At 48.1% G+C, this 16,230-nt stretch overlaps 1 pseudogene, besides 1 other annotated feature; it reads right to left on the minus strand.

Annotated features, from left to right (window-relative positions):
• On the minus strand, nucleotides 1,284-1,571 carry RN7SL596P (RNA, 7SL, cytoplasmic 596, pseudogene; annotated as a pseudogene).
• Nucleotides 15,037-15,331: a silencer, noted in NCBI's record as "tiled region #949; K562 Repressive non-DNase unmatched - State 3:PromF". NCBI's record gives its function as "represses a minimal TATA promoter and a strong SV40 promoter by Sharpr-MPRA in K562 cells {active_cell/tissue: K562}" and the evidence as "EXISTENCE:reporter gene assay evidence [ECO:0000049][PMID:27701403]".

Here is a 16,230-nt window from a genome sequence, read left to right on the forward strand (position 1 = left end):
TACAGCTCTAGACAACAGGATATAGGAAGGAACCCAGAAGCAAAACCTCCTCCTGTGGAAAGGGGTGGAGTCTTCCTTAGGAAGAGAGAAGTCGCCTTCCTTAGAGACTAGGAAGGAAGTTCATGGACACATGCAGGGTGAACCTGAGGACCAGAAGAGGAGAAGAATCCATGAAGATGCCATCCTTGAGAAGATCAAGAGATGTACTGCTTTACTGCATGCTACAAGGGAATGAATGGCTAAGTGAGCCTGAATTGTAATTTCTGTCTCTTTTATAATGTAAATTCCTTCTGAAAATGCCATAATTCCATGTTTTCCAAGCATTAGTATTCATGGGAATCACCTATAGCAGTGGTCCCCAACCTTTTTGGCACCAGGGTCTGGCTTCATGGAAGACAATTTTTCCACAGACAGGGTTGGGGGGACGTAGGATCGGGGGACCGATGGCTTTGAGATGAAACTCTTCCACCTCAGATCATCAGGCATTAGATTCTCATAAAGAACATGCAACCTAGATCCCTCAAATGCACAGTTACAATAGGGTTCACGCTCCTGTGAGAATCTACTGCTACTGCTGATCTGAAAGGAGGCAAAGCTTAGGTGGTAATGGCTCACCACCCCCATCACCTGCTGTGTACCCAGTGCCTAACAGGTGACAGACCCATACTGGTCTGCAGCTCTGGGTTCAGGGATCCCTGACCTCTATTTGTTGTAAATATAATTCCTAGAATCCTTCTATAGAGTCTGAATTAGTAGAAAAGGCAGACAGCTGTGGTTTATCCTGTTCAGCATCCTTCACCCTCTCTTTTGGAATACTTCTGGGAAACAAACTGGAGGACAAAATCCATAAGGACTTATTCATTAGCTCCCATCCCCATCAGTCAGTGATGGCCCCAAGGCATCGATTCTGCCACTTCTAGGATGCACGTGTGCTAGCGCTGAGCAGGCAAGAGTCCCACACTGAAGTATCAGAGAAGCTCCAGGGCAAAAAGCAAGAGGCACCAGGTGTGGGCCAGGTGCAATCACACTGCACCCATGCCAAGGCAGCAGAGCCTGCATAGAACTGGCGGTAGCAGCTGTGGCTTGAAAAAGAGGCATGGGCTGGGCGCTGTGGCTCACACCTGTAATCCCAGCACTTTGGGAGGCCGAGGCGGGCAGATCACCTGAGGTCACGAGTTGGAGACCAGCCTGGCCAACATGTTGAAACCCCATCTCTACTAAAAATACAAAAAAATTAGCCAGGCCTGGTTGTTCACGCCTGTAATCCCAGCTACTTGGGAGGCTGAGGCAGGAGAATCACTTGAACCCAGAAGGCGGAGGTTGCAGTGAGGCGAGATTGCGCCACTGCACTCCAGCCTGGGCAGCAAGAACGAAACTCTGTCTCATATCTCATTTTTTATTTTTATTTTTATTTTTTATTTTTTTCAGACAGAGTCTCACTCTGTCGCCCAGGTTGGAGTGCAGCGGCACGATCTCCGCTCACTGCAAGCTCCGCTTCCCAGGTTCAAGCGATTCTCCTGCCTCAGCTTCCCGAGTAGCTGGGACTACAGGCGCCCGCCACCACACCCGGCTAATTTTTTGTATTTGTAGTAGAGACGGGGTTTCACCATGCTAGCCAGGATGGTCTCGATCTCCTGACCTCGTGATCCACCCGCCTTGGCCTCCCAAAGTGCTGGGATTACAGGCGTGAGCCACCACACCTGGCACTGTCTCATATCTCATACCTACACACACACACACACACACACACACACACACACACACACACAGAGGTATGGCCAAGAGGATTTGAAGTAATGCACAAGAGATTTCCCATATGCTCCACTTCTTCCAGCTCTCAGCCCTGCATGGGCCCTCCATTAAGACCAATCCATCACAAGAAGATGTGTAGGACCAGCTATGTTCATTACCTTCCTCCGCTATTCCCCTTCTCAGTCTCTCTCACCTACACCCAACATTTTGTTTAATGGGTAAAGTGACCCAGAGGTAAGAAACAAAACCAAAAAAAACCCACCACCATTAAGTGATGGCACTAGTGGGGATTTGCACCCGCTCAGTTCTTCTCTAGAATTTGTTTGGGTGTTTTTTTGTTTGTTTTTGATATGGAGTCTTGCTCAGTTGCCCAGGCTGGAGTGCAATAGCGGGATCTTGGCTCACTGCAACCTCCGCCTCCTGGGTTCAAGCGATTCTCTGGCCTCAGCCTCCCGAGTAGCAGGGATTACAGGCGCCTGCCACCATACCTGGCTAATTTTTATATTTTTAGTAGAGACAGGGTTTCACCATACTAGCCAGGCTGGTCTCAAACTCCCAACCTCAGGCAATCTGCCCACCTCGGCCTCCCAAAGTGCTGAGATTACAGGCATAAGCTACCACACCTGGCCTAGAATTGGGGCTTTTTTTTTTTTTGAGATGGAGTCTCACTCTGTCGCCCAGGCTGGAGTGCAGTGGCGCAATCTCGGCTTACTGCAACCTCCTCCCCTCCAGGTTTAAGCAATTCTCTGCCTCAGCCTCAGGAGTAGCTGGGATTACAGGCGCGTGCCACCACACCCGACTAATTTTTTGTATTTTTAGTAGAGACGGGGTTTCACCATCTTGGCCAGGCTGGTCTGGAACTCCTGACCTCATGATCCACCCACCTCGGCCTCCCAAAGTGCTGGGATTACAGGTGTGAGCCACCGCGCCTGGAGAGAATTGGGGCTTTTAACCACGCAGTGCTGAGAAAAATTTCAAGGTAAGTGGCATCTGGGTTCAGTGAGAAAGAATACCATAACTGATTAGAGTGTCTACCAAAGGAATTGGTAGATACAACACCAAGAGAACAAGTAACAAAAGAAAAACCAGACTGGGCACGGTGGCTCACGACTGTAATCCCAGCATTTTGGAAGGCCAAGGCGGGAAGATCACCTGAGGTCAGGAGTTTGAGACCAGCCCAGCCAACATGGTGAAACCCTGTCTCTACTAAAAATACAAAAATTAGCTGGGTGTGGTGGCAGGCGCCTGTAATCCTAGCTACTCGGGAGGCTGAGGCAGGAGAATCACTTGAACCCGGGAGGTGGAAGTTGCAGTGAGCCAAGATCACACCACTTAACTCCAGCCTGGGCAAAAGAGCGAAACTCCATCTCAAAAAAAAAAAAAAAAAACAAAAAACTAGATACACTGGAAATTGGACATCAAAATTAGAAACTTTTGTGCTGCAAATCATAGACAGTGAAAAGACAACCCACAGAATGGGAGAAAACATTTCCATATCATATATCTGATAAGGGTCTAATATCCAGAATATATAAAGAACTCTTACAACTTGATAATATAAAGACTAATAATCTAATTTTTTAAAGGGGCAAAGGATTTCAACAGACGTTTCTCTAAAGATATACAAATGACCAAAAAAAAAAAGCACATGAAAGGTGTCTGATGTCATTAGTCAACAGGGAAATGCAAATCAAAACCACGGTGAGGTATCTCTGTGCCCCCACCAGGATGGCTGTAATATAAACAATGGACAATAACAAGTATTGACAAGGATGTGGAGAAATCGGATTTCTCTTACACTACTGGTGGGAACGTATGATGCGGCAGCTGTGGAAAAGAGTTTGGCAGTTCTCCAATAAATTAAACAGAATTACCATATCACTCGGCAATCCCACTCGCAAGCATATACCCAGAATAACTGAAAAAACACATGTTCAAACAAAAACTTGTACATAAATGTTCATAGCAGCTCTATTCACAACAGCCAAAAAGTGGAAACAACCTGATGCCCATCACTGATGAATGGAAGTAAAAGATTATATATACATACTATCAAATATTATCCAGAAATAAAAAGAAATGAAGCCAGGCACAGTGGCTCACGCCTATAATCCCAACACTTAGGGTGGCTGAGGCGGGAGGATCACTTGAGCACAGGAAGTCAAGACTAGCCTGAGCAACACAGTGAGATCCCATGCTACAAAAAATTATTTTAAATTAGCCGGGCATGGTGGCGTGCACTTGCAGTCCTAGCTACCCAGGAGGCTGAGGTAGGAGGATCACCTGAGCCAAGGAAGTCCAGGCTGCAGTGATCTGTGATCACACCACTGTACCTCCAGGCTGAGCAACAGAGTGAGTCTCTGTCTCAGAAAAAGAAGGAGAAAGAAAAGGAAAAAGAAGGAAGGAAGGAAAGGAGGGAGGGAGGGAGGAAGGGAAGGGAAAGAAAAAAGAAAAGGAGAAAAAGAAAAAGAAAGAAAGGGGCCGGGCAGGGTGGCTCACGCCTGTAATCCCAACACTTTGGGAGGGCGAGGTGAGCAGATCATCTGAGGTCAGCAGTTTGAGACCAGCTTGGCCAATATGGTGAAACCCCGTCTCTACTAAAAATACAAAAATTAGCTGGGTGTGGTGGTGGGGGCCTGTAATCCCAGCTACTCGGGAGGCTGAGGCGGGAGAATTGCTTGAACCCGGGATGTGGAGGTTGCAGTGAGCCACGATTGCGCCATTGCACTCCAGCCTGGGGGACAAGAGCGAAACTCCATCAAAAAAAGAAAGACAGGAAAGAAAAAGAGAGAGAGAGAGAAAGAAGAGAAGAGAAAGAAAAGAAAGAGAGGGAGAGAAAGAAAGGAGGGAGGGATGTTGGGAAGGAGGGAAGGAAGGAATGAAGGAAGGAGGGAAGGAAGGAAGGGAAAGAAAGAAAGAGAGAGAGAGAAAGGAGGGGGGATGTTGGGAAGGAGTGAAGGAAGGAAGGAAATGAAGGAGGGAAGGAGGGAGGGAGGGAGGTTGGGAAGGAAGGAAGGAAATGAAGAACTGATACATGTTACAACGTGGATAGACCTAGAAAATATATTGCTAATTTAAAAATGCCAGTCACAAAATGCCCACATATTATATGATCCCATGTATACAGAAGGTCCAGAATACACAAATTTGTAGGGACAGAAAGTAGGTTAGTGGTTGCTTAGGGATTGGGGTCGAGGGAGAAGAGTGAGGAGTGACCGCTAATGGGTATGAGGTTCGTTTTAAGAGGGAGGAAAATATTCTAAAATAAGATTGCCGTGATAATTTCACAACCCTGTGAATATACTAAAAAACATTGATATGCTCATTAAGTGAACGAGGTATATGGGAATATAAATTCTATCTCAATAAAGCTGTTTTTTAAAACCTGAAAGTCTCAGGCTGGGCACGGTGGCTCACGCCTGTAATCCTAGCACTTTGGGAGGCTGAGGCGGGCGGATCACGAGGTCAGGAGAGCGAGACCATTCTGACTAACTCGGTGAAACCCCATGTCTACTAAAAATACAAAAAATTAGCCAGGCGTGGTGGCGGGCGCCTGTAATCCCAGCCACTCGGGAGGCTGAGGCAGGAGAATGGTGTGAATCCAGGAGGTGGAGCTTGCAGTGAGCTGAGATGGCGCCACTGCACTCCAGCCTGGGCGACAGAGCAAGACTCCACCTCAAAAAAATAAAATACAATACAATAAAATAAAAAATAAAACCTGAAAATCTCAAATTCTGGGAAACCTCTCAATGCTGGGCAAACCGGGAGGTCTCCCTGGCACCACTCTTATCTCCATAAAATTTATTTATGTATTTATCTATTTATTTAATTAATTTTTGAGATGGCTCTCTCTGTCGCTCAGGCTGGAATGCAGTGTCTCGATCTCGGCTTACTGCAACTTCCGCCTCCTGGGTTCAAGCAGTGACTCTCCTACCTCAGCCTCCTGAGTAGCTGGGATTACAGGTGCCCGCCACCATGCCCAGCTGATTTTTTTTACTTTTAGTAAAGACAGGGTTTCACCATGTTCAACACGCTGGTCTCGACCTCCTGACCTCAGGTGATCCGCCCACCTCGGTCTCCCAAAGTGCTGGGATTACGGGCATGAGCCACCACGCCAGGCCCATACCTTTTTTTTTTTTTTTTTTTTTGAGACGGAGTCTCACTCTATCACCCAAGCTGGAGTGCAGTGGTGTGATCTCAGCTCACTGCAACCTCTGCCTTCAGGGTTTTAAGCATTTCTCTCTGCCTCAGCCACCCGAGTAGCTGGGATTACAGGTGCTCACCACCACGCCCGGCTAATTTTTGTATTTTTAGTAAAGACAGGGTTTCACCATGTTGGCCAGGCTGGTCTTAAACTCCTGACCTCAGGTGATCCACCCACCTAGGCCTCCCAAAGTGCTGGGATTCCAGGTGTGAGCCACTGCACCCGGCCTGCCAGGCCCATAAAATTAAAAAAAAAAAAGGGGGCGGGGGGGATTTGGGGAGAGAATGCAGTGTCTGGAGTATTAGTCAGCTTTTTGTTGTGGCAATGTTGTGTAACCAACAACCCTGGAACTTAGTCATTTACGGCAGCAAACATTTCTTTCTTATAGGTCTGTAGGTCAACTGTGGCTGCACTAGGCTAGCTGGGCTCAACTGTACTTGGCCCAGCTGTACTGTGAGTTAGGTTCCAGTCTACTCCAGGTGTCTCTCATTCCAGGACCCAAGCTGAAGAAGCAGCATATCCCTAGGGCATGCTCTTCTCAGATGGATGGCACACGCAATAGAAACCAAGCACACACCATACAATTACTACAACGCCTCAGCTAAGATTACTGCTTACTTCATGTCTGTTCACGCCCCATTGGCCAAGGCAAGTCACATGGTCACGTCCACAGTCACAAGGGTGGGGAAACATTCACTGTCTCATTTGAGGCACTGAAAAGCAAGGTAATGGGGCTGGACATATAATCTAATTATAGGAGGGGGTGGGATAGCTGGAAACAATAAGCCAACCAACTCAGAACAAATGCTTGCCATTCTTGCTCTACGAGACCTTTAGGGAGCAGGTCAAGAAGGATTCATCAGGCCAGGCATGGTGACTCACGCTTGTAATCCTAGCACTTTGGGAAGCCGAGGTGGGAGGATCACTTGAGCTCAGCAGTTCAAGTGGCAGAACATGGCAGAACCCTGCCTCTACCAAAAAAATATAAAAATTAGCTGGACGTGGTGGGATGTGCCTGTAGTCCCAGCTACTAAGGGGGCTAAGGTGGGAGAACTGCTTGAGCCCAGGAGGTTGAGGCTGCAGTGAGCCATGTTCGTGCCACTGTACTCCAGCCTGAGTGACAGAGTGAGATAAACACACATAAAAAGATAAGAATCGATCTATTTTGTCTAATTCTGCTGCATTAGCATCTTGTGTTTTTTTGGTTTTGGGGGGTATTTTTGAGATGGAGTTTTGCTCTTGTTGCCCAGGCTGGAGTGCAGTGGCACGATCTCGGCTCACCGCAACCTCCACCTCCTGGGTTCAAGCAATTCTCCTGCCTCAGCCTTCTGAGTACCTGGGATTATAGGCACGCGCCACCATGCCCAGCTAATTCTTTGTATTTTTAGTAGAGACGGGGTTTCATCATGTTGGCTGGGCTGGTCTCAAACTCCTGACCTCAGGTGATCCACCCGCCTCGGGCCTCCCGAAGTGCAGGGATTACAGGCGTGATAGGGTCTTTTTTTCTTTTTTCCGAGACGGAGTCTCGCTTTGTCGCCCAGGCTGGAGTGCAGTGGCACAATCTTGGCTAACTGCAACCTCTGCCTCCCAGGTTCGAGCGATTCTTCTGCCTCAGCCTCCCAAGTAGCTGGGATTACAGGCACCCACCACCACACCAGGTTAATTTTTGTATTTTTAGTAGAGACAGGGTTTCACCATGTTGGCCAGGCTGCTCTCGAACTCCTGACCTCAAGTGATCCGCCCATCTTGACTTCCCAAAGTGCTGGATCATGCCTGGCCAGGTCTTTTCTTAAAAAATAGAAATGGCATTTTAAATTCTGATTATAAAAGCAAAAATATCAGACAATACAGGATACTTTAACAAAAAAGTAGGAACAGCTTCCAGGAATAATTCTATGCCCGCCAATCTGACTCACCTCATTTTATTACACCAACGTGCAGGGCAGAAAGTCATTTGGTGATACGAGGATGTAAACAGTGCCTAGCATTGAACACACACGTGGACAGAGGAGGAGAAACAGGTTTGACATGTACAGAGCTAGAAGCTAGTCTGTGGGAATTAGTGGCCCATCTCCTGCCATGTGGAAAAAGACAGGCTGCAGGAAAGGGAGTATGGCTGATGTACACAAACAGAGGCAGAGACTGGGGGTGAAAAGAACGTCCTGGTAGCATTTATGTCCTGGGTCCGGTTATTCCTAAAGTCGGCCTGTATCCCTGCCCTTCCCACAATTGGGCATTCAGCCCTTCCTTCAGTTCCATGAGCCAATAAATCCCCCATTTTGTTCAAGCTAGTATATTTATTTATTTATTTCTTGAGACAGTCGCCTAGGCTGGAGTGCAGTGGCACGATCTCGGCTCACTGCAACCTCCACTTCCCGGGTTCAAGCGATTCTCCTGCCTCAGCCTCCCGAGTAGTTGGGACTACAGGCGCCTGCCGCCACACCCAGCTAATTTTTGTATTTTTAGTAGAGACGGGGTTTCACCGTGTTAGCCAGGATGGTCCCAAACTCCTGACCTTGTGATCTGCCCACCTCGGTGTCCCAAAGTGCTGGGGTTACAGGTGTCAGCCACTACGCCCAGCCAATTTTTATATTTTTAATAGAGATGAGGTTTTGTCTTGTTGTCCAGGCTGGTCTGGAACTCCTGACTTCAGGTGATCCACCCACGTCAGCCTCCCAAACTACTGGGATTACAGGCGTGAGCCATCACACCTGACCTTGAGCTAGTTTAGATTGAGAGTTCTGCAACAAGAACCCTAAAATGTGGCCACCCAGCTGGTGCTAACACCACAGATTCTGGGCTGATGCTGCAACTATAAAGATGGACAAAAACTGGTCCTGCAAACAAATAATTACAGCACAACGTGCCAAGTTTCATAACAGTGGGGTTCCAACGGATGTGGGACCAAGAGATGGACTTCTGACCACACACAACAACTGAATAAAATTTCACCAAGGAGTGCTAAGTTTTAGGGGCTGAACTGATACCAACATTGCTGTTAGGTCATTACTTTTCTTCTTTTGGATGACTTTAGGATAAGCTGGCAATAGGATTACTGAGCTGAAGAGCATGGCTATATATTTATTATGGCTTTTGCTAAAGACCACTACTAAATGCCAAGCCAGTTAAGAGTGAAGCCCCCCTGCCCTTACCTAGGCTTCAGACAGCCCTCTCCTCACTTGGAGCTGGGTCTAGTCCACTTGCTACAGCAGCCCACCCATATTTCTTTTTCTTTTTCTTTTGAGACGGAGTCTTGCTCTGTCACCCAGGCTGGAGTGCAACGGTGCAATCTCGGCTCACTGCAACCTCCGCCTCCCGGGTTCCAGTGATTCTCCTGCCTCAGCCTCCTGAGTAGCCGGAACTACAGGTGCGTGCCACCACCTGTAATTTTTGTATTTTTACAAAAATTAGCAGCCTGGCTAATTTTTGTATTTTTAGTAGAGATGAGGTTTCACCATATTGGCCAGGCTGCTCTCGAACTCCTGACCTCGTGATCCGCCTGCCTCAGACTCCCAAAGTGCTGGGATTATAGGCATGAGCCACCACGCCCGGCCCCCATATTTCAATATCCCCACAGCTATTCCCACTTGAGGCAGTCCACTCGCTGTCTCAGCTTGTCACTGGTGTCCTAAAATGCTACCAACAATAAAAGCTGTGCCAAAAGGAAATGCTTCCTCCAGCTTGGGCCTCCAGCCTAGGGGACACCATGGGGAGTGGCCTGGAGCAACTATTTGCTGGGACAGAAGCCATTGGTTCTCCACTCTTCCTGTTTTCAGTCTGTCCTGCCCCGTCCTAGGAATCTCATGTCTCAAGGCCAAATTCGCTAAGTCAAAAGACGAGTTACAGACATAACTTAGATTAGTAAGGGTCTACCCTCTCTCCTCCACAGGAAGCTGTCTCAACAATTAAGATTCCTGGCTGGGCACAGTAGCTCATGCCTGTAATTCCAGCACTTTGTGAGGCTGAGGTGGGAGGATCGTTTAAGCCCAGGAGTTTGAGACCAGCCTGGGCAACATAGGGAAACCCTGACTCTATAAAAATACAAAATGGGGCCAGGCGCATTGGCTCACACTTGTAATCCCAGTACTTTGGGAGGCCGAGGCAGGTGGATCACCAGGTCAGGAGTTCCAGACCAGCCTGGCCAATATGGTGAAACCTCATCTCTACGAAAAATACAAACAATTAGCCAGGCGCAGTGGCTCACGCCTGTAATCCCAGCACTTTGGGAGGCTGAGGTGGGTGGATCACAAGGTCAGGAGATCAAGACCATCCTGGCTAACACGGTGAAACCCCATCTCTACTAAAAATACAAAAAAATTAGCTAGGCGTGGTGGCGGGCGCCTGTAGTCCCAGCTACTCGGGAGGCTGAGGCAGGAGAATGGTGTGAACCCGGGAGGTGGAGCTTGCTGTGAGCCAAGATCACGTCACTGCACTCCAGCCTGGGCTACAGAGCAAGACTCTGTCTCAAAAAAAAAAAAAAAAAATACAAACAATTAGCTGGGCATGGTAGCGCGCACCTGTAATCCTAGCTACTCAGGAGGTTGGGGCAGGAGAACTGCTTGAACCCAGGAGGCAGAGGCTGCGGTGAGCAGAGATCGTGCCACTGCACTCTAGCCTGGGCGACAGAGCAAGACTCCACCTCAAAAATATATATGTAATAATAACAATAAATTAAATAAATAAATTCCAATTCTTGGCCAGGCACAGTGACTCACACTTGTAATCCCAGCACTTTGGGAGGCTGAGGCGGGAGGATCGCTTGAGCCCAGGAGTTCGAGGCTGTGGTGAGCTATGATTTCGCCACTGTACTCCAGGCTGGGTGACAGAGCCAGACTCTGCCTCTACAACAAACAAACAAACAAAAATTTGATTCCTGTATATGGCACTTTCTATGTAGCTGTGTAGCTGGTGGAGGAGAATTCCTGGAATTCCTAATAACTCCACTGAAGATGGTCTGGAGTCTTCCCTCAGAGCTCAGCGCAGAGAAGGTTTGCTCAGCAGAGCAGGTATGCAAGGCAGAAGGCCTGGCTTTGCAGGCCGACCAATTCGCTTCTGTGACTTTCATGTTGTTTGATTTGGTTTCTTCATCTAAGCATTGCAGTGTTTAAGAGCAAGGACAGGGGATAGAGCTAGGGTTGGGTCCTGCCTTAGCAACTAGCCACATTTCATTAAATCTAGGACATCATGGTTTGCAAGATGAACCATTATTTTATGTATCCCCAAAGAAAAAAATACTGCCAAACTATGACAATGATCTCTTATCACTTGGAATTTTATTTTACGTTTATTAAAAGAGCTCTTTTGGCCAGACTCGGTGGCTCATGCCTGTAATCCCATCACTGTGGGAGGCCGAGGTGGGTAGATCACTTGAAGTCAGGAGTTCAAGACCAGCCTGGCCAACATGATGAAACCTCGTCTGTACTAAAAATACAAAAATTAGCTGAGCATGGTGGCACATGCCTGTAATCCCAGCTACTCAGGAGGCTGAGACAGGAGAATCGCTTGAACCCGGGAGGTGGAAGTTGCAGTGAGCCAAGATAGCGCCACTGCACTCCAGCCTGGGCAACAGAGCAAGACTCTGTCTCAAAAAAAAAAAAAAAAAAATTAAAAGAGCTCTTTTAGGCCGGTGCAGTGGCTCATGCCTGTAATCCCAGCACTTTGGGAGACCAAGGCAGTCGGATCACTTGAGATCAGGAGTTCGAGATTAGCTTGGCCAACATGGTGAAACCCCATCTCTACTAAAAATACAAAAAATTAGCCGGGTGTGATGGCGGACGCCTGTAATCACAGGTACTCAGGAGGCTGAGATGGGAGAGTCACTGAAACCTGGGAGATGGAGGTTGCAGTGAGCCGAGATCGTGCCACTGTACTCCAGCCTGGGAGACAGAGTGAGACTCTGTCCCAACAACAACAAAAAAAAGAGCTCTTTTAGACTTGCAGATTTTTTTTCTTTTTTTTTTTTGAGACAGAGTCTTGCCCTGTCACCGAGGCAGGAGTGCCGAGGCAGGAGTGCAGTAGCACAATCACAGATCACTGCAACCTCCAACTCCCAGATTCAAGCGATTCTCATGCCTCAGACATCAAGGTAGCTGGGATTACAGGGGCACTCCACCACACCAAGCTAATTTTTTTTTTTTTTTTTTTGAGACGGAGTCTCACTCTGTCGCCCAGGCTGGAGTGCAGTGGCGTGAGATCGGCTCACTGCAAGCTCCACCTCCCAGGTTCATGCCATTCTCCTGCCTCAGCCTCCCAAGTAGCTGGGACTACAGGCGCCTGACACCACGCCCAGCTAATTTTTTGTATTTTTAGTAGAGATGGGGTTTCACCATGTTAGCCAGGATGGTCTCGATCTCCTGATCTCATGATCCACCCACCTCGGCCTCCCAAAGTGCTGGGATTACAAGCATGAGCCACCACGCCCGGCCTTTTTTTTTTTTGAGACAGAGTTTTGCTCTTGTTGCTCAGCCTGGAGTGCAATGGCCCAATCTCAGCTCACTGCAAGCTCCACCTCCTGGGTTCAAGTGATTCTCCTGCCTCAGCCTCCTGAGTAGCTGGGATTACAGGGGCCCACCACCAGACCCGACTGATTTTTTGTACTTTTAATAGAGATGGGGTTTCACCATGTTAGCCAGGACGGTCTCGAACTGCTGACCTCAGGTGATTCCCCTGCCTCGGCCTCTCAAAGTGCTGGGATTAGAGACATGAGCCACTGTGCCTGGCAATTTTTTTTTTTTTTTTTTTTTTGAGATGGAGTTTCCCTCTTGTTGCCCAGGCTGCAGTACAATGGCACAATCTCAGCTCACTGCAACCTGCGCCTCCTGGGTTCAGGCGATTCTCCTGCCTCTGCCTCCTGAGTAGCTGGGATTACAGGTGCCCGCCATCACACCCGACTAATTATTTGCATTTTTAGTAGAGACAGGGTTTCACCATGTTGGCCACGCTGGTCTCGAACTCCGAATCTCAGGTGATCCAACCGCCTTGACTTCCCAAAGTGCTGGGATTACAGGCGTGCGCCACCACGCCCAGCCATCCAGCTAATTTTTGTATTTTTTGTAGCAACTGGGTTTGGACATGTTAGCCAGGCTGGTTGCGAACTCCTGGCCTCCCGCCTTGACCTCCCAAAGTGCTGGGATTATAGGTGTGAGCCACTGCACCTGGCCCTAGATTTGTTGATATTTTAACATAGGTTTTCATGATATATCACTCTTCATATACATGAAAATGTAGGCAAAATAAATTGGTTGGGGTTGTCAAAGCCCTGTGACCAAGGACCACCAGGAACACACTTGTAACCAAAATTAGGTTTAATTTGCTGCAGTGAAGGAGAATACATCCCAGGGAAACCCTCAAGGCACCCTCAGGAAACTCCTTAAATTTGGCCTCGTTCCCATAGTTCTATGGAAGAATTAGGGAAATGGAACTGGTTCAGGATTGAATGCTGTCAAGAAACAGGGGCAGTTCAGAAACTGGGTATCTTTTTTTTTTTTTTTTTTGGAGATGGAGTCTCGCTCTGTCACCCAGGCTGGATTGCGGTGGCGCAATCTCGACTCACTACAACCTCTGCCTCCCGGGTTCAAGTGATCAGCCCGCCTTGGCCTCCCAAAGTGCTGAGATTACAGGTGTAAGCCACCACGCCCAGCCTGGACTACAGTAATTTTTGCTAAAGAGAAATAGCAATTGCTCCAAAAAAGGTGAAGTCAGGCCGGGCACAGTAGCGCACACCTACTTTCCAGCACTTTGGGAGGCTGAGGCAGGTGGATTGCTTGAGTCCAGCCTGGACAACATGGTGAAACCCCATCTCTAAAAAAAAAAAAATTCTTTTTTTAAAAAAAGGCAAAGTCGGCCAGGAGCAGCGGCTCACACCTATAATCCCAGCACTTTGGGAGGCCGAGACAAGCGGATCACCTGAGGTCGGAGTTCGAGACCAGCCTGACCAACATGGAGAAACCCCGTCTCTACTAAAAATACAAAATTAGCCAGGTGTGATGGCGCATGCCTGTAATCCCAGCTACTCGGCAGGCTGAGGCAGGAGAATCTTGAACCTGGGAGGCGGAGGTTGTAGTGAGCTGAGATTGCGCCATTGCATTCCAGCCTGGGCAACAAGAACAAAACTCCGTTTTAAAAAAAAAAAAAAAGGCCGGAAGCAGTAGCTCGCGCCTGTAATCCCAGCACTTTGAGAGGCCGAGGCAGGAGGATCACAAGGTCAGAGTTCAAGACCAGCCTGGACAAGATGGTGAAACCCTGACTCTACTAAAAATACAAAAATTAGCCAAGTGTGGTGGCAGGCGCCTGTAATCCCAGCTGCTTGGGAGGCTGAGGCAGAGAATTGCTTGAGCCCGGGAGGCGGAGGTTGCAGTGAGCCGAGATTGCACCACTGCGCTCCAGGTTGGGTGACAGAGTGAGACTCCATTTCAAAAAAAAAAAAAAAAAAAAAGGCGAAGTCACTTTGTGGTCATGAAGTGGCTTCATCTATGTCTCATTCTAAACATAGCTTACTTTCTGCTGGTAACAGCACAGTCTGAATGCCAGAAAAGCCATCTTTCACTTTCTTGATAGTCCTAAACTTCAGTCCTAAACTTCACGTTGATGTTGATTATAGAAAGCATCACCATTTGAGGGATATTAAAATGTGGGGGAAATATTCACTCTAGGTTGGATGAAATAAGATTCTTGCTGTATTACCTTGGGCAAGTAATCTAACCCTTTAAGCTTCAACTTCTTGCTCTATAAGCTGAGAATAATATGACCTAAAAGAAATAATGTCTACTAATTGGGTGGTACAATACTGGGTGTATCACTCAAGGTTCAACCAGGAAAATAGGAACCACTTTTTTTTTGAGACAATCTAGCTCTGTCGCCCAGGCTGGAGTCAAGTGCAGCGGCATGATCTTGGCTCACTGCAACCTCCGCCTCCTGGGCTCAAGCAATCTTCCTGACTCAACCTCGTAAGTAGCTGGGATTACAGGCACACACCACCATGCCGGGCTAATTTCTTTTTTCTTTTTTCTTATGGTAGAGACAGGGTTTCACCATGTTGGCCAGGCTGGTCTCGAACTCCTGACCTCAAGTGATCCACCTGCCTTGGCCTCCCAAACTGCTGGGATTACAGTTGGGAGCCACTGCGCCCCGCCAGGAGGGAACCACTTTAAGTATTGAAAACAGAGAGAATGTAATGCAGGGTTTTGGTGACACGATTAACAGGGGTTAACAGGGAGGTCTGGAAAGCCCAGCAGGGGACAGAGAGAGGCAGTACAGAGACTGGCAAAAGCAAGAAGCTGCCTACAACTCCTAACCTGCAGGGACAAAAAGAGGAGGTGGACTGAGTAGAGCCCAGGGGCATGGATCATCCTACAGATGTTGGGACCACAGCTACCTATCCATGAGCTGGAGCCACAGAGAGGCCTCATCTGCTGCTGGAGATGTCACCTGAGCCTGAGCAAGAGAGAGAAAGAGAAGAAATACCATGGCTCTTTCTTTCCTCCTGCCTTCTCTTCTCCTGCCACTGCCTCCCATTGGCTAAACCGAGGCCTGAAGCCAGATGCTCTGGGAGCCTGAGAAACTGCCCCCCGCAAGACTCAGCCCACTGCAATACAGAGCAGAGCAGAGGGGCACGGAAGGGATCTGTAGCAAATGGTAGAGAATGACCATTCAGCAGAAATAGTTAAACAGGCTTGGTAATACCTTTGTTGTAAAACCTTTAAAATATCAGATACACTTGCACATAACAAAATAATTCCCTTAAAAATAGACTGCAAGGCCAGGCGCGGTGGCTCACGCCTGTAATCCCACTTTGGGAGGCCGAGGCAGACGGATGATGAGGTCAAGAGATCAAGACCATCCTGGCCAACATGCTGAAACCCCGTCTCTACTAAAAATACAAAAATTAGCCGGGCATGGTGGCACGTGCCTGTAGTCCCAGCTACCCAGGAGGCTGAGGCGGGAGAATAGCTTGAACCTGGGAGGCGGAGGTTGTGGTGAGCCGAGATAGCGCCACTGCACTCCAGCCTGGTGACAGAGCGAGACTCTGTCTCAAAAAAAAAAAAATTAAAAAATTGACTGCAATCCATATAGACTAGTTCACACCTCTTCTCACACCCCCATCCTACTACGCGATTCTGAATACTACTGTGTCTGGTCTGATATAACGACATTCGAAGATGGATTTTCAGTGTCAGACATTTTGCATTTTCTGAGCTGAAATCTCATGAGGGTTGCTATAGAAGAGGGAGATGCACATTCCATGTCACAGAAGTAAAAGCTCACCCAGAGTGTGG

The sequence above is a fragment of the Homo sapiens genome, chromosome 11, assembly GCF_000001405.40.
Source record: "Homo sapiens chromosome 11, GRCh38.p14 Primary Assembly".
Taxonomy (NCBI): domain Eukaryota; kingdom Metazoa; phylum Chordata; class Mammalia; order Primates; family Hominidae; genus Homo; species Homo sapiens.